The sequence below is a fragment of the Homo sapiens genome, chromosome 16 (genome assembly GCF_000001405.40).
Source record: "Homo sapiens chromosome 16, GRCh38.p14 Primary Assembly".
NCBI lineage: Eukaryota > Metazoa > Chordata > Mammalia > Primates > Hominidae > Homo > Homo sapiens.
Genome location: NC_000016.10, coordinates 11118576 through 11137199, shown reverse-complemented (window position 1 = coordinate 11137199; position 18624 = coordinate 11118576). Strand labels below are relative to the sequence as shown.

The 18624-nt window shown below is 48.2% G+C and overlaps 1 protein-coding gene and 1 long non-coding RNA gene across 39 annotated transcripts in view; one reads left to right on the top strand and one right to left on the bottom strand.

Moving 5' to 3' along the window:
- Positions 1–18624, bottom strand: part of CLEC16A (C-type lectin domain containing 16A) — a 237623-nt gene that overhangs the window by 44987 nt on the left and 174012 nt on the right. For 27 of the 37 annotated variants that reach the window (NM_015226.3, XM_005255214.3, XM_011522434.3 and 24 more), the window contains 3 exons: positions 16434–16585; positions 13254–13458; positions 11054–11221 (listed from right to left, as the gene is read on the bottom strand). In NM_015226.3, the coding sequence (NP_056041.1) occupies positions 11054–11221; positions 13254–13458; positions 16434–16585 (525 nt within the window). Of the gene's footprint in view, positions 1–26; positions 1132–1831; positions 1942–10855; positions 11222–13253; positions 13459–16433; positions 16586–18624 lie in introns of those variants that run through there. The other 10 variants (XM_011522439.4, XM_047433863.1, XM_047433864.1 and 7 more) reach the window with 5 other exon arrangements.
- On the top strand, positions 2150–7829 carry LOC105371081 (uncharacterized). 2 transcript variants are annotated; one of them, XR_001752081.2, is made up of 2 exons: positions 2150–2237; positions 7702–7829. It is a non-coding gene; the product is annotated as an uncharacterized LOC105371081 (long non-coding RNA). The 2 variants fall into 2 exon arrangements; XR_933069.4 differs by lacking the exon at positions 2150–2237 and adding an exon at positions 6984–7098.

Sequence of the window (18624 nt, the reverse complement as noted above, 5' to 3'; positions counted from 1 at the left end):
AGAAAAAAAACACCAACAGAAAAGGCTTAGGATGTTTCCTTGGGTGATTTTATGGACTTTTCCTTTAGATACAGACTTGAGACACAGATGCAAGTCATGCTCTCTGATGACTTCTGTACTCTTGGTTCACACGATGGAGTAGAATACAGCAAGAATATGTGGGGTTCCCAAAGCTCACCTGATTTCCAGGTGTTCTGCCTCTGAATATGCTTCAGAACGGAGGGCATGGCGGTTCACGGAGTGGAAACCAGGGAGCCCTGGCTGGCCACTTGTGAGCTGGTAACACTGGGCACTGAGGAATGACACTAGCTTCCCAGAGCTGTTGTGAGGCTCCGGGGGACTGCCTGGCTCAGATGGGCGCAGTGCCAATGATGGCAGTCAGCACCCCAGGGGACAGGATGTGTGCTGGGCTGGAGGCCCAATTTGTGCTCTTCTCCAGCCCTGGCTCAGCCTCTGAGAGCTGTGGGGCCTCAGGCAGATTACAGGATCTCTTCTGTGTGAGGAGGAAAATTCTGCCTGCTCTATTACACCCCGGTGTTTTACCAACGCCCAGGGAAAGTCTTTGTGAAAGAGCAACTCTGTGCCACTGCAGCATGTCTTTGTAATTGACAGCAGAAGGACTACTGCATTCGTAATTTTGTTCGTGCTAATTGATTAATGTGTAGAAAAGGAACCTATTTTCTGGGGTCCCAAGGCTCAGCCCTTAACTAACAACAACAACAACAACAACAACAACAAAATGGCAAGAGCAGTTAACCTTTGCTGCACGTTTTATATGGGTCAGGCATTGTTCTGGGCACTTAGGTGAATGAACTCATTTTATGTCACAAGAGCCTAATGAGGTGACACTTGTATCCCATTTTTTGTTTTTCGGTTGTGGTACACATAACAGAATCTACCATCTGAGCCATTAGTAAGAGTACAGTTCAGTTCTTAAGTCCACTCACATTGTCGAGCATCATCCCTGTTTCTTATATGAATAAACTGAGATCCAACAAGGTGAACCAAATGGGTCAAGGCCACCTAACAATTTTCCCGTGGAGGTGGAAGGCTGGGACTTGGGCCCATACTCTTTGGCTTGTGCTGGGTGCTTTCATTCTGCTGCTTCTCACCTGGGCAAATACTCTGCTGCTGGGAAAAGAAACCCCATTGTGAATGAACAGGAAAAACAATGAAAAAAAGGATGCTGGGATTGATCATGGACACCCTGGGGTGGGAAGATTTGGTAAGTTCGATCTTTTCTTGGTGTCTTCCAGTCTTTTCTGTTATGCACTAGATGTGCTTGACTAGGAGGCTGGAGGATGAGGCTGGAGAGCTCTATCCTACGTGTGGGGCCAGGCCCGTGCTGGTGAGCACACGGGGTGTGTGGCCAAGCCACCCGCTCTGCCACTGACACTGGCCTGTGCTGTGCTGCCGGCATGGCTGCCCTGCTGCGGGCCCACCCGAGCCTACAGAACATTCTAAGGCATGGCCCAGGTCAAATGGCAGATTGCATATGGGGTTTGTTCTCTCCCCCCACCTACTGCACGGGCTTCTCTATTAGCAACCAGGGAGTGTTCCCTGCCATCTGACACACTCTTATGACCAGAAGGCTCCCGGGCATACAGTCGCTTTGGCAGTATGAGTTAGGTAATGACCCCAAAGAGTGAAGCAACACTCAGTTCTTTGGAACTCTCTTCTTCCCCTCCCTCCACCTCCCAGAAAAGCATCTGGGCAAGATGGCTGGCCCTGCCTACTGTGTCCATATTTAGCGAGAGAGGGCTCCCCATGACAAGTGCTACTGTGTCTATTGGGAAAGTGTCTTTGGGGGGCATGTTGTGAGTGGGGAAACCTTGCAGGCCCGGATCCGGGAACGCGGTTCCTTCTCTGGCTGTGTGAGCCCAGCTCCAGATTCCCTGAGGCTCTCTCTCTCCACAGCTGCTCTGGAGCCCTGAAAAGAGGCTTGGCAAACAGGAGACCCCTTGGACTCAGCTCAGGGCTGATTTTTGAGTAGGATCTGTTCCCCACACCCCTGCCCCACCACTTGAAGGCTGATCTCTTAGAGGCAATTGCCAGAAAGCTTTGAAAGGGGCTCAAATCCTGCTGCTTTTGTTCAGGCAGGATTTTGAAGTCATCCTTCTGCTTTTTGTTCATGCACACCAGGGACAAACCTGTGCAGGAACGAGCCCTGCACCGCTAGCCTGGTTTGGAAGTGGTGGTCTCAGGACGGAGCATCTTTCTGGATTGCTGCTTTGCAGGTTTGTCCTTGAAACACTGGAAGTGGGTCTTGGGGCACGAGGATGTGGGCCTATGCCAGGGTGGATGACGGAAGAGGGGAGTAGGGAACATTCTGTCTAGACCAGGGGCATCCCTTGAGGCCCCTCTCTAAGGAGGGCCTATCCTACTGATCTCTGACATTCTGAGACAGGCAGAGCTGCCATGCGAAGTAGCTCAGTCATTGCAGGTTGAGCAATCCAAATCTGAAAATCCAAAATCCAAAACTTTTTGAGTGTCGACATGACACTCAAAGGAAACACACATCGGAGCATTTCAGATTTCGGATTTTTAGATTAGTGAAGCTAAACCAGTAAGTAAGTATAATGCAAATATTCCAAAATTCCCCCAAATCCAAAATTCAAAACACTCATGGTCCCAAGCATCTTGGATAAGGAATATTCAACCTGCACCAATGCCAGCCTTGAAGCAAATGGGATTTAGAGGCAGGAAGGGGAGGTACAGATCTCAGCCTATCTCATGTGAGCTCTGCAGTCTTGCTTTGAGCCTCAGTTTCCTATCTGTGAGGCAGAGCAAGTGATACCAGCTTCCAGGGTGGTCGGGAGGATAGAATTTGTGCATATAAAGTGCCCAACATGGTTAATTCTTCCAAATTATAGCTCACACTTCCAGAAATAGATACAAATTTTTCTGTCTAAAATATGCTTAGAGTTGGAGCCGACAACGTAGTTTTGCCTGGTACCAGTGAGGCCTTAGGTGGCTGCTGTTAGGCCCTTCTTTCAAAAAAAAAAAAAAAAAAAAAATCAGAAAAGGGGAATTCACATTAGCTATGAATTAAAAGTTGGTTCAGCATGGTGGTGGGACTCAGGGTCTGACGCTGGAGGGAGGGTATCTGGTGTGACCTTGGGTAGGCCACTTTCTGACCTGCTGAAAGGGAAAATGGTAACATCTTCCTTCTGAGGGCTATTGGGAAGCTCGAACAAGAATAATGCATAAAGTGCTTAGCAGCTCAATAAATTTTGCTTTATAAAAGGCCTGAGGGTAGGAATCAAATTTCCATAACTCACGGACCCGCCTCACTAACCTGCTGGCCCAAGTCTCTAAGCAGTGAGCTGAAGGCTGGGAAAGGGTTAAGACCGGGCTGGAGAAGCTGGAGGAAGCCCCAGGTCCTTCTTCCTGTGTGACTCCAGAAAGGGTATTTTTTGCCTTGGGGAGCTACAAGGAGAGAACTGGCTCCAGTTTTATAATCAGAAACAAGAAAAATAAGAGGACTAAAAAATTAGTTCCTGGAAAATGCCACCATGAGATGACATTAGCACCTAGGACGTTATTCTCAGGGGAGGTCTGAACTGATGTCTATGAATGAAACATCAATTTTCTTTTTGCCTTTTTGGATGGCGGTCAGAGGCTTTGCGGTCAGCTCAGCTGGCTCATAGCACACTGTCATTTCTGCATTCTTCCTAAGTTACTCAGCTGCCAAGGGCTGCCTCTGGAACCGGCGAGGCTTTTCCACGGAACTATTAAGTGCTCTGGGTCACGTGACTGACCCTGCCGGTTTAGGTGCCTTTGATAAAGATAACACCGGTGAAAAGCAAGGCATGGCCCAGATACTCAGGAGAGTCAAAAAAAAAATTTTTTTTTTTTTTTGAGACAGAGTCTCACTCTGTCACCCAGGCTAGAGTGCAATGGCAAGATCTCAGCTCACTGCAACCTCCACCTCCCGGGTTCAAGTGATTCTCCTGCCTCAGCCTCCCGAGTAGCTGGGACTACAGGTGCCCGCCACCACACTGGGATAATTTTTGTACTTTTAGTAGAGACGAGGTTTCGCCATGTCGGCCAGGCTGGTCTCGAACTCCTGACCTCAGGTGATACAGGGGAGTTAAATATCTACCACAAGACAGCTGGAGCCCCAAACCCAGTAGGAAGCTGGGACAGGAAGTGAATAAAGTCCAGCTTAGCCCTTAAGGGATGAAGTCCAACTTGCCAGCTCACACCCAAACCACCACCAACTGGCACAGGGTACCAGACCTGAATAAGACAGAAATACCCTGGCCTTAGGGGTTTACAGTCTGTTGGGAAAACAAGACTGAACAATTCCTCCAGCCCCATCCTCTGTCCCCCAGCCTCCCATCCACCAATGCATCCATCCGCCCACACATCGGTATTCACTGAGCAACTACTTCATAGGCATCCATGAGCACTGTCAAGGACAAGACAAACGAGGTTCCCCACAACCCTGTACCCACCCCCTGGCCAAGTGCCTTCCATTCTAGTGCAGGATAGTGTCAGAGAACAAGGAATACAAGAGGCAATTTCAGCTAAAGCTAAGGACTATGAAGACCATGGGAAAACGGTCTGGCAATTCCTCAGAAAGTTAGATTGTCACATGACCTACTTTTTACTCCTAGGTATATACCAGAAATAACTGAAAACAAAACAGGCGTTCAAACAAAAGCTTGTGCACGAATGTTCGCAGCAACCCATTCAACAATAGCCAAAAGGCAGACACAGCCCAAATGTGCATTGATGGATGAAGGTGGAAGCAAAACAACGTCTATCCATATAATGCATATTATTCAGCTAAAAGAAGGATAGATGCACCTTGAAAACATGATGCAAACTGAAAGAAGCCAGGCATGAAAGGCCATGGATTGTATGATTGATATGAAATACCCAGACTACGTAAATCTATAGAGACAGAAAGCAGATTAGTGGATGCCAGGGGCTGGATGGGGGCGGGGGCGGGGGGGGTGGGTGGGCGATGACTACTTAATGGCTATGGGGTTTTCTTTTGAGGGGATGGAAATGTTTTGGAACTAGAGGAGAGGATGATGGCACAATCTTGGGAAGGTTCTAAATGCCACTGAATTGTTCACTTTCAAGTGGTTAGTTTTATGTTGTGTTAAATTTCACCTCAATTAAAAACAAGCTGCCGTGCAGAGAACTAGGGTGACCTGGGCACTCAGGGAAGGCCCCTTTTTGAGGTATCGGAGCAGAGCCCTGAGTGCTGAGAAGGAACCAGCCATGCAGAGGGCTCCAGGCGGAGGGAAGCACGAAAACAGAGGCCCTGAAATGGGACGCACTTGGCCCTGGTGAGGCACAGCCAGCCAGCCAGTGCGGCTGAAGGGCTGGATTGTGTCATCTGCAGAGAGCCGAGGGGAGAGAGGGCTGGGAGCTGATCCCAGAAGAGGGCAGGGGCCAGACTGCATGGGACCATGGGCCACAGAGAGGGGCTGGTGACAGGAGGGGCTGGTGGGTTTTAAGGAGAGAGCAGCAGAAGAGGCAGAGAAGTCCCTGTCCCGGAGTTAACAGGCTGGTGGGGAGCGGTTGATGGTAAACCAGGTGGGAACAGGTCACTTTTTTGTCATGTCACTAAGCCCTCATCTGCAAGGGCCAGGAGATGTCAACCTGCCTGGCTGCTCCTCTGAGCTGTGTGCTCTGCCAGCCCTTCCCACACCCACCAACCCACCAGGGTAACACCTGTAAGCAGCTCTGGTTCCCTGCGGCCTCCTGAAGCAGCCTCTGGGCCAGTAGGAGCCCAGAGTGAGGAGCAAGGCTGTTCTGGGAGGCCGTAGCCCCTGACACCCCTGGGTCATTTCTGGGGAACAGCTTCTGCTCTGGGGTCTGCTGGTCCACTTGGAGTTTATGGAAAGGGTGGCCTTGCAGGCGAGTTTTGGACACCCTGCCCATCATGACAGATTCTATCTCTAGAAGCAGCTGTTGCCATGGGCCAGGTCCATGAGGCACTAACCACAGCAACATGGCACTCAAAGCCACAGAGTGCTCAGGCTAGAGTCTAGGCCTGGCCATGCCTGCCCACCCCCACATACTGGCCGCCACTGACCCCCCTCCTTGGCCAGGCGCACGCACAATCCCTCGTGAAGCTGAACATTCTGTGAGGGTGAGAGCCATCAACATAAAACCAGCCAATAAATAGAACTTGTGATTTTTTTTTTCTGAGCCAAATGGAAGAAGAAAAATACACCAAAGTGGCTAGTCACCTATTAGCCCTGATTTATACACTACTTTAATATCTCATCCAAGGAAATGAAAGGCATATTTTCATCAAATACAATCGTTTATAGCTTCTAAAGGGGAGACAAACTGCTCTATGACAATTACCTGGGCCCGCAGATAAAATCGGAAGATGTGTCCTAATAAAACACCCTTGTCTGGCAGCCACCCCGAGGCAGCAGCCAGAGTTGTTTTCTTCCTTGTGAATTATTATCTAGGCAGAAGCAAGGACTCCATGCGCTGTGCGGCCTATGGGGAGGGGCACCATTGTGGAGGGTGGGAAGTGGTCACGCCCCAGCACCCACGGGCCCTTGATGGCAATGGTGACATGTCACAGTATCAGAGGCCAACCTGGGCCAGGTTTCTGATGACCGAATCTCCCTCCACTGCCCGGCTCCCCGTGTCACTACTCTGTGGCTTCTGTAAAACTCTGAGTAGGAGGAGGGTGGTGAAATTCAGTTGATATGCAACCAACCTAAATCTGTCACCTGGGTACATGGTCCTTGGACACACATCTTGCTCGCTTGGTGACAGAAATTTAGCCGAGGGATGCTGCTTAAGGTCTTCTCGGTTCTCAGTTCCTTTGTGTTCCCTTGTCAAAGTTCCATGGACTAAACCACCAAGTATCTAGGGCCCCAGAGGGACTTTCCTTGTCTTCCCGTGTTCAGAGAAGGGAGAAGGCCTTTGATGGGCTCTGTTCCAAGGCTGAGCAGATAACAAATGCAGGCTCATTCTTCACTCAACGATACTAAGTGGGGGCACAGAGCTAGGCGCTGAGATGCAGGGTAAACAGCACAGAAGGTTCCCACGCAGGCAACCCTCTCTGCAGGGGAGAAAGACTATGACCAGGCACACAAAGGCATCAGCCAGGTAAGGAACCTCAGTGCTGTGGATAAACGGAACCAGGCTAGGCTGGGTGCGGTGGCTCACGCCTGTAATCCCAGCACTTTGGGAGGCCGAGACAGGCGGATCACAATGTCAGGAGATCGAGACCATCCTGGCTAACACGGTGAAACCCCATCTCTACTAAAAATACAAAAAATTAACCGGGCGTGGTGGTGGGCGCCTGTAGTACCAGCTACTAGGGAGGCTGAGGCAGGAGAATGGTGTGAACCCGGGAGGCGGAGCTTGCAGTGAGCCAAGACTGTGCCACTGCACCCCAGCCTGGGCGACAGAGAGAGACTCCATCTCAAAAAAAAAAAAAAAAAAGGAACCAGGCCAATGCAGTGGCGGGAGGGGACAACCCTAGCCAGGAGCTGATCTGAAAAGGCCACTGAAGAGGCGGCACACAAACTAAGCCTGAGCCGTTAGCGGGAGGCAGCTACACCAACATCTGGGTACAGACATCCAGTGCAAGGCCCTGGGGCAGGGAAGGCCACAGTGATTTACAGGAGTGGGTCTCAAAGTGTGGTCTGGAAATCCTTGTTTTCATAAAAATAGTAAGACATTTTTCTTTTATGTTCATATTCCCAGGGGTGTACTGAGGAGTTTTCCAGAGGCCACAGAATGCATGCTATCACAACAGACAGAAAACAGAAGCAAAGAGGAGAATCCAGATGTCTTCTATTAAGCCAGGCATTAAAGAGACTTGCAGAAATGTGCAAGATCAATTTTTTTCTATGTTTTGGAAAACAGAGTTATTGTTCATAGAAAACTATGTTAGTTATGCATATATGCAATGGGTTTATTCAAGAAGTATATATTGAAAGCATTTCTTAGTTTTAATTTCTAATGTCATAAATATCTATAAATATAATCTATCTAAATGAAAGCTCTTTAAGTTCTGTAATACTTTTTAAGCAGATAAACACGTGGGTGCTGAGGCTAAAACTCTGAGAAATGCTAGCTTAGAGGAGCAGCAGGGGCTGGCAAGGCTGGGGTTGGGGCTAGAGTGAGCTTGGGGTTGGGGGAACTTCATCTGAGAGGCCAGTTGGGGCCGGATCTCACAGCCACCACCCAAGATCAGAAGGAGAGATGTGGATTTTGTTCTAAGTGCAACAGGAAACTACCAAAAAGCTGGAGGCAGGGGTATGACGTAATCTGATTTAAGTACTAGAATGATCCCACTGGCTGAATGGAAGCTAGGGATCCTGAGAAGGCTTCTGTTGCAATCTTGGGAGATCTGGGAGAGGAGATCTCGGATCTCAGTATTTTCTGGAGGCCAAGCAGGCTGGTGGGTGTGGAAGCAGGGTGAAAAGTTTTAAGAATGATTCCAAAGTGCTGAGTGGCTGCTGCTGTGGGGGACCCTGACTACTGAGATGGGGGTGGGGGCAGCCTATGCTCCCACCATGCCAAGGCTCAGGGATTTCAACTTGCTCTTCAGGACACAGCTCTGGTGCCAAGCCAAGGTGGGAGGGCAGCGAGGCCTCCCTCTTTGCGGGGGTGGTGTGATAAATAAGAATGTCTCCATCTCACTCCTCATAGCTGAGTGGCACTTCCAGGGGCAGTCAGGGGAGACACAGCCAAGGGGTGGATGCTGCCTTCAGCAGCCACCTCTGACTTGCTGTTGTCCCAGTTGGCACAGCCTCACACTTGCTGACCCTGGGACCAGCAACAGGACATGGGGCATCCCAGCTGTGCCAACCACCCCGGCAGGCAGGCCCAGGTTCTGGAGCCGGGCCACACTCCTGGCATTTGATGTTCTCACCCACCGGTGGAAGGCCAGGCAGGGTAGAAGAGGTAAGCAATAAGTCATCCTAAAGCATTCTGCAAACAGAGAAATGATCATGTAGATGCTGAAGAATGGGCCGCTTGGCTCCATGTATTTATTTACATTCTACCTTGTTCCAAAAGGGCTCAGAACAGAAATAAGGCCTGGGCTTTTCTCTTTAACCAGTAAGTTCCGAAACTGAAAGACGCCTCAATGACCCTAAAGAAGTCATTTCTTACCAGGTCAATTTGTACTTAGTTAACTTAGACTCAGTCACACTTTATATTTACTTAGCAATCATAGCCACAGAACACGAAGCAACCTGCAGAATTTTTTAAGCAAAGAATCCTCCTGACCCTGAAACAGGCAGAATCATCTCACATTTCATCACTGAAAACAGGCGGTGCCACAATCAGTCTCTCAGCCTAAGATTATTTTTTTCTTTTCTTTTTGAGACAGGGTCTCACTCTGTTGCCCAGGCTGGAGGGCAATGGTACAATCATAGCTCACTGCAGCGTCAACCTCCTGGGCTCAAGTGACCCTCCCACCTCAGCCTCCTGAGTGTAGCTGAGACCACAGGTGCCCACCACCATGCCTGGCTAATTTTTTATTTATACTAGACACGATGTCTCACTGTGTTGCCCAGGCTGGTCTCAAACTCCTGGGCTCAAGCAATCCGCCTTGTCTTAGCCTCCCAAAGTGCTAGGATTACTGGCATGAGCCGCCATGCCCAGCCCTGAGACTGGATTTAAGAAAGAAACCAATCACAAGCTGTGGGTGGCAGAGTGAATTGGTGTACTGTTTTCTAGAGTTCACGTTGGGACTACATATATCAAGATTAAAAACCTTCCCCTTTGGCAAATTCACTGCTAGGAATTTATCACACAGACATGAGAAATTTGCACAATTACACAAAGACACCCTAAGGATGCTCACTGTGACACTGTAAGAGCAAAACACTGGAAATGACCCAAATACGAAACAGCAAAAAAGATTTTTTTGCCCATCCATATGACAAAATACCATGTAACAGTTAAGGAGAATTAGGTTGATTTATACGTGTTAATGTGTGACACTTTCTATTAAGGAAGAAGTAGCAAGGTGCAGCATCAGACATACGGTATACCCCATGTGTAAAAAACAAACATATGCATGACATACAAAGAAATATTTCTGGAAAGACAGGCAAGAAACTGTTAACAATAGTTACTTCTGAAGCAAAGTAGACTTATTTTTCATTTGATCATCTCCTGTCTGGATTTTAAAAAATCATATGCCTACGGTATATACATATAAATAATGAATTATCAAACAATGAAACTAAAATAAATCACATGGGGGAACCAGGACTCGGGTTTTGAGCAGGTTCCTATGGCTGCGTTTTGTTCTTAAATCAATAACTGCTTTTGAAAACATTTCACAACACTTGCAACTTAAGTTTGAAGCCCTATATGGGGAGGGGTTAAGTTGTGAGGGAGAGCTTGGCCAGCGCTCTAAACTTTTGCAACCAAAAGAAAGGCTCTCTTTCGAGGGATCGGGGTGCATACGGATTTACTTAAAGCAGACATGTCAGAACAGGAAGGGGAGAACTCGGTCTTCTGGAGAAGTGGTCCTTTCCACTCTGACAAATCAGCAATGGACTTTCCATTCAAGTTTCTGTTTTGGGAGGAGCGGAGGAGCAGGGTTAGAGATGAGCTGTGGCAAAAGTGGGAGGAGACGCCCTCATATGGAAGGAGTGGACAGCTGACCTGTGGGCAGCACGGCCTTCTTTTGAAGTCTCACTTCTTCAGGGGGTTGTAACCGGAACCAAACACACTCTCTCTTTCTAGTCATCTTACATGGAGAAGGAAATTACTCTCCCACAACTTCAGCACTAATCATTTAAATGTTTCCAAGAAATTTCCAAGAAAATTCTTAGTCAATTCTGAGAAGTTCTTCCACATACCCAACAAATCTCTGGAAAACCAAACCAAACACTAAAGGGAAAGCCAAAATTTATTTTGGGGGCTGTGTTTAATCTTGCGCTGTGCTTTGACAAATTCTAAGAAGCTGGTGCTGCCAGCCGACGGGGCTTCTGAGAGAGGAAGGGCAGCTCACACAGGCTCCACAGAGAGAAAGACCTTGAACGCCCACCATGATGAACGAGCTGTGGCGCAGGGCGGGGGGCTGGCTCACCTGGCACCTTGTCCACCGATGCAAACACGGAGCGCTGCACTGTGGGGTCGCTGCTGCCCCGGCGCCCCTGGTCGTAGAAGCGGAAAGGCAGGTGCTGAGTGGAGGTGGAGGAGCCGAGTCCAAACCCCAGGACTTCAGTGGTGGGCTGGATTGGGAGGTCCAGGAGGGCTACGGTCAAACAATAGCATGGTTCACTCTGAGCATGTGGGATAGAGGGGGGTGGTGAGAATTTGGGGGGGGGGACATCGTAGTGGCTGTGGCCCTGCCAGGCACATCACTTGGGAGACGCCAAGTGGGCGGCAGGCAGCCTCAAGCTGCAGAGACCAGTGGAACATCAAAGTTCCCACTGAGGCTCAACGCACAAGCGGAAGCCAAGTGAGGGCTTCGGGCCAAGGTTGAGACCAAGGAGAAAGGGGTTTGAGCCTGGGCTCCTCGAGTGGAATGGAAGCTGGGTCAATTTCCACTTTGGATTCTCAGCTTCCATGTGTAAAGGACCCTGACAAAGGCTGTTTCAGACCCCAAGCGAGTGGGGCCGAGTCTGCCCAGAGAGTTCACACGTATACGTGTGTATGTATATCCGCACATGTGCAGGAGCATGCGAAAATATGGATGTGCATGTACATGTGTAACTCTGAGTGGGTGTTTATCTGTCTCAGCCACTAACCTCCCTTCCATAAATAAACCTCCCAATATATCCATACGGAGGGGCTTTTTAAAATCAATTTAAGAAATACCCAAGGCTTTAGTTCTAACAGCCACTTTACAGCATAATTCTCAATTTTCAAATGAAGTATTTGGCCTTCATGCCAGCTGTGAGAAATTGCTTTACATGAAGAAAAAAAAAAAACTCTCTGAAAATAAATCTTAAAAGAAAGGGCTGAATGATTTAAGTCACTTTGCACATTACAGAATGCTTCAGTAATGATTTTGTAGGCCAAGTTTCAGCTAAGTGAGAAATGAGACGGGGACGACAACGTGGGACGCGGGCCTGTGCAAATCAGCACAGTAAATCATCGCATCGGTAACGCCCAGAAACTGGCCCTCTGAGGGTTTATTTTGAGACAGGGTCTCACCCCGTCTCCTAAGATGGAGTGCAGTGGTGCAATCATGGCTCACTGTAACCTCCACCTCCCAGGCTCAAGTGATCCTCCCGCCTCAGCCTCCCGAATAGCTGGGACTACAGGCGTATGCCACCACGCCTGGCTCATTTTTGTAATTTCTTTGTAGAGACAGGGTCTTGCCATGTTTCCCAGGCTGGCCTCGAATTCCTGGGCGCAAGTGAGTTACCCGCCTTGGCCTCCCGAAGTGCTGAGATTACAGACATGAACCACCGTGCCTGGTCAAGGGCTTATTTTAAAGTTATCCCTTGAGAAAGCACCCCCACATCCCCAGGTAGGCTTAAAATCCTCTCAGCAGCCACCAGGATGAGCACTGGTGCCTGAACTGAATGGCACTGGGTATCTTGAGAAAGACTGTCATTTTAGGAGTTGACAGCATGCCTTCCCCCCACGCCGAGGAGAAGGCCTTGCCTTCCTGCCCAATGAACGCATCTCCCTCATTTCTGTGACTTTCCTTGTAATAAATCCTGGCCTTCCTAATACTGGGCAGTGTTGGGCTTCCTCAGAAATTCACCGCAATCCCCGTGAAATGTAAAATGACTTCCTTCCAAGGGTTCCAGCCTTTCACCAAGCAGGGCTGCCTCTTATAAGAACTGGGAAGGGGAAGGAGGAAGGGGTAAGTTTACAGTAGGAAGTTCTGCCTGTGGGTTCTGCCTGTGTGACTTTGGGCAAGTCCCTGAGCCTGTTTCCTTCTCCGTAAAATGGGCAGAGCAGGCCCTACAGAACTCCAGAGTTGTTTTAAGGATCGGAGGTGGTAGAGTAACGTCAAAGCACTTTGTTAACATATGCTTGAGAATTTCAGTGTGAAGGGCTGAGAAGAGTGGTCCCACACTGACGTCTACTTATTGCTGGCCTCCTGCCTGCTAGGGAGAGCTCCTCTTCTCTTCCATGCAGCCCTAGAAACTCACCAGAAACCAAACACCCAGGAAATGGAACTTCCTCGTATTCGTATATAAAACAATTCCTGAATCATACGTGTCTTCTTCTATGCTATGGGGGTTCTCAAGGTCAGTGTGAGAACTACAAACAGCCCTGACCCACCAAGTGCTCAGAGGATGCCCTGCCAGGGTCCAGCCACTCACCAGCTATTCTCTGCATCTTCATGCGCCTTGCCTGGATGCGGCCTTTGGCCAGGCGCTGCTTGGCGATGATGCAGCGGATGTGGTCTGAGAAGATGAAGGTGGCCTGGAGGATGGGGAAGGGCTTGGAATGGGGGCTGGACGCAGGCTTGTGGATGGTGATGTTCAGGGCACGGCTGTCGTCCTCCACGCCAGTCACCTGCATGTCCTGCACAGTGAGAAGCAAAGGAAAAGGCATTCGTTGGGTTTGGGAGGAGGGTGGCTAGGAGCTGTGGCATCATGAGGCATCTAGAAAGAGGTCTCCAAATTCATCTCTGCTTTTGATCTAAGATCGACAGCCTCCCAAGTCCAACAGAGTCATGGATGGGCACAAGGCAGACCAGGCCCAGTGGGAGAGGACAGTGTGGGAGGAGGCACAGAGTACCCCAAAGGAGCGGATGCTGGTGGTGGTGGCTGGTGCCTGTTTTCCATGAGGACTGGGGTCAGCTCATGAATAACAGCGTACCCCCACAAGCCTCTTCAAGGGGCCACAGGTAACACCACAGGCAAACTCTTACTTCTGAGAAGCCAGAGATAATGAACCAAAATTACTATTACCATCTGGCATGATCTCAGATATAGTTGCTCATCTACTCATCAATTTCTTCCTTATTTCTTCTAAGAAGGGGACATCGTTGGCAACCATTTGTATGTCTTTGACAAACTTCTGGTCCCCAAAGGGAAAAGCTAATCCTGAGAAAGGGACAGGGGCTGGGCACGGTGGCTCACGCCTATAATTCCAGCACTTTGGGAGGCCGAAGTGGGTGGAACACGAGGTCAGGAGTTCGAGACCAGCCTGGCCAAGAGGGTGAAACCCAGTCTGTACTAAAAACACAAAAATTAGCCAAGCATGGTGGCGTGCGCTTGTAGTTCCAGCTACTCAGGAGGCTAAGGCAGGAGAATCGCTTGAACCCGGAAGGCAGAGGTTGCAGTGAGCCGAGATCGAACCACTGCACTCCAGCCCGGGCAACAGAATGAGACTCCATCTCAAAAAAAAAAAAAAAAAAAAAAAAAGAAAGGGATAGGGAAGGTCATTGAGCAGAGATTTGAAGGAAACTGTGTTTCAAAGGTGGAGAATAAATGAACATGTAGCAAAATATAATAAAGACAAACCAGTCTAAAACCTCAGAACGGACTCTGCATAGACAATCTACTCCCATGAAGGTTTGAGGTGATCTGATATAAAAGCCTGAGAGGGAATGAACACAAAAGTCAGAAATGTTAAAGGAGGTGGGGACAACATTGGAAAAGGCTCACAGAGGAAGATGGTTGTGGTTCTCAGGCACTACATTTGGCACAGGCTCTTTGGAGATAACACCCCCATCAAAACGCGGCAGTAAGATCAGATGAGGCATTCTGCATTTAAAGCAGGGAGTCTGGTATAGTAAAGACCTGACAAATAGCACCCATTGGAAGACGGCCAAAAAAAAAGGTTTATGTGGCTTTCATTGTCTGATGGAAGACACATATTAATTCTTCAGGGGAGAAAAACACTTGCCTGACACTAAATTCTAAAGGAAATTAATCATAAGCCTAGATAAAGCCTAGATAGATAAGCATAAGTCACTTAATGGATAATGTCTTACATGGAGTGTTTCTTTTAAATGAAAGATTCTTCTATAGTTGTTTCTCACACCACACTTTGTAAAAGACACTTTTACAATAGAAAGATCCTGAAGAAGAGGAGGCTGGGGAAGAGGCTGTAACAGTAGCTTCAAGTATGTGGGTGGTTCTCGCAGAGAGCAGGACACAGACAGCAGGTCAGGCTGCGGCAAGGCAGAGGTGGGGCGGCCTGAGCCAAGGCCCTTCCAGAAACCAGGGCTGGCTGGCAAAGAAATGGACTGCCTTGAAGTAGGGCAAAGTTCAGGCCTGAAGTGTCAGCTGGACATCCAGGGACAAGGGGTATGGCAGAGGGGCGACCTGGGAGGCTGCTTTCAACCCTTCTGATTCTTTGCTTTATTCACTCAAAGAGCTGGTACTAGTTATCTATCACGTTGACAAACTTTTTTTTTTTTTTTTTTTTTTTTTTTTGAGACAGGGTCTCACTCTGCCGCCCAGGCTGGAGTGCAGTGGCACGATCTCAGCTCACTGCATCCTCTGCCTCCTGGGTTCAAGCGATTCTCGTGCCTCAGCCTCCTGGGTAGCTGGGATTACAGGTGCCTGCTATCATGCCCGGCTAATTTTTGTATTTTTAGTAGAGACGGGGTTTCACCATGTTGGCCAGGCTGGTCTCGAACTCCTGACCTCAAGTGATCCACCTGACTTGGCCCCTCAAAGTGCTGGGATTACAGACACGAGCCACCACGTCTGGCCCACGTTGGCAAACATTAAAAACAAAAAAAAACCCAAAAAATCCCCAAAACCCAAGCCCCAGCTTGGTACTTGGCAAGTTAGAGCCTAGCTCTGCTGGGGTGACGTTGAGCGGAAGGGAATTCACAAAAATGCCAGTGGCAACAATCATTTTAGAGTGGTATTTGGCAGTGTCTACTAACACTTAAAATTAGTACACCCCAGCTTCTTGGTATCTGCCTAGGGAAACCTTGCCCAAGTGCATAAAGAAGTAAGAGTGATTCTGTTCATGGCAGCACCGTCTGCTGAAATAGCAGAAAACTGGAAATAGCCGACACGGCATGGGTTAAGTATGCCTTGCTATAGTCACAAAGCAGTGAAAAAGAATACCAGGAAGTCTGCGTGTACTAATGTGGCTGGCTCTCCAAGACACACTATTGATATTGAATGACAAAAGCAAAGTTTAGAACATATTCAATGTGATATCATAAAAAACACACACATACACTCTCAAGTATATGTATATAATTTTTAAAAATAGTACATGTAGTTACATTTATATATGCCTTTGGCAGAAAAACAGATCTGGAAAGGTCACACTGATAATGAAGATTATCTCTGGTGGAGGGGAGGTGTAAGAATCGAGCGTTTTGGTCAAAGAGGACTTTGCTCTTATCTGTGCATTTATGTGGTATTTTAGCTTTTTTTTGGGTGACAATTTGTTCACATATACCTTGTATAATATCACTACAAATTAATGATAAAGATGACAATTGTGTGTGGTGTGTGTGTGTGTGTGTGTGTGTGTGTTTGTAGCCAACTGAGAACAGATCCCAGAGCTCCTGGCCATCTTACCTGCAATAGGCCTGCAAACTTGACCACTCCCCAGCCAAGCCTGGACACATCAGGCTCCACCAAACTCATCTGGTAAATATCCACAGCCAGGAATCGCTGGACCATGCCGCCATCCTTGGTGATCACTGTACATGCAATCAAGTCGCTGTTATCTGGGAGGAGGAAGGTGAGAAGAGAATGAGGCACAGTCTGGCTGCCCAGGGTGATGGAGACACCAAAGCTGACTCTCATTCTATCAGGAGCAGAGCTCAGTGGTTAGAGCCCAGGCCTAGAGTCACACAGACCTAGGTCTGAGTCCCTTCTCTGACAGTTATGCCGGGAAAGTTTCTTTTCCTCTCTGGACCTCAGATCCCTCATCTGGATAATAAAGAGAATGCACACTCCCTCAAACTGCTACTAGTTAGGACTGATATAAAGCATATAAAGTACATAAAGCATCTGTCCAATGTTTACTGCATGTTAGGTGCTCAAGCCGTAGCTTAAAAACAACCAGCATGGCTGGGTGCCGTGGCTCACGCCTGCAATCCCAGCACTTTGGGAGGCCAAGGCAGGTGGATCACCTGGGGTGAAGAGTTCGAGACCAGACTGGCCAACATGGTGAAATCCTGTCTCTACTAAAACTACAAAAGATTAGCTGGGTGTGGTGGTGGGCACCTGTAATCCCAGCTACTTGGGAGGCTGAGGCAGGAGAATTGCTTGTATCTGGGAGGTGGAGGTTGCAGTGAGCCAAGATCGCGCTCTGCACTCCAACCTGGGCAATAAGAGCAAAACTCCGTCTCAAACAAAACAAAACAAAACAACACAACACAAAACAAAACAACAAAACAATCAGCAATCCAAGAAAGAAACTGAAGATGACACAAACAAATGGAGAAACATCCAACGCTCATGGATCAGAAGAAATGATATCGTTAAAGTGACCATGCTACCCAAGGCGAGCTACACATTCAATGCAATTCCTATCAAAATACCAACATCATTTTTCACAGTATTAGAAAAAAAATCCTAAAATTCATATGGCACCAAAAAAGAGCCCAAAGAGCCAGAGCACACCTGAGCAAAAAGAGCAAAGCTAGGCCAGGTGTGATGGCTCACACCTGTAATTCCAGCACTTTGGGAGTCCGAGGAGGGAGGATCGCTTCAGCTCAGGAGTTGGAGACTAGCCTGGGCAACACGGCAAAACCCCATCTCTACAAAAAATGCAAAAAATTAGTTGAGTGTGGTGGCCCACACCTGTAGTCTCAGCCACTCAGGAGGCTCAGGTGGGAGGATGGCTTGAGCCCAGGGTGGTTCAAGGCTGCAATGAGCCATGATCATGCCACTGCACTCCAGCCTGGATGACAGAGACCTGGTCTCAAAACAAACAAAAAAAGAGCAAAGCTGGAAGCATCACACTACCTGACTTCAAATTACAAGGCTGTAATAACCAACACAGCATGGTACTGGTATAAAAATAGACATATAGGCTGGGTGCTGTGGCTCATGCCTGTAATTCCAGCACTCTGGGAGGCCGAGGTGGGCAGATCACTTGACGTCACGACTTACAAGGCCAACTTGGCCAACATGGTGAAACACTGTCTCTACCAAAAAATAAAAAAAATTAGCTGAGCGTGGTGGTGTGTGCCTGTAGTCCCAGCTACTCGGGAGGCTGAGGTGGAGAATCGCTTGAACCTGAGAGGCGAAGTTGCAGTGAGCCAAGATCGCACCACAGCACTTCAGCCTGGGTGACAGAATAAGACCTTGTCTCAAAAAATAACAAAAAGAAAAACACATGGACCAACAGAACAGAATAGAGAGCCCAGAAATAAAGCCACATATTTACAGTCAAGTGATCTTCAATGAAACTGATAAGAACATACGCTGGGGAAAGAACACCATCTTCAATAAATGGTGCTGAGAAAACCGGACAGCCATACGCAGAAGAATGAAACTGGACCCCTCTTTCTCACTGTATACAAAAACCAACTCAAGATAGATTAAAGACTTAAATGTAAGACCCAGAACTATAAAAATCCTAGAAGAAAATCTGGGGAAAACTCTCTGGACATTGGTCTATGCAAAGAATGTATGACTAAGACCTCAAAAGCACAGGCAACAAAGCCAAAAATAGACAAATGGAACTTACTTAAACCAAGAACCTCAGTAACATTTCAGTGCTTCTTTAAAGACTAATGGCAGTTTACAGTTGTGA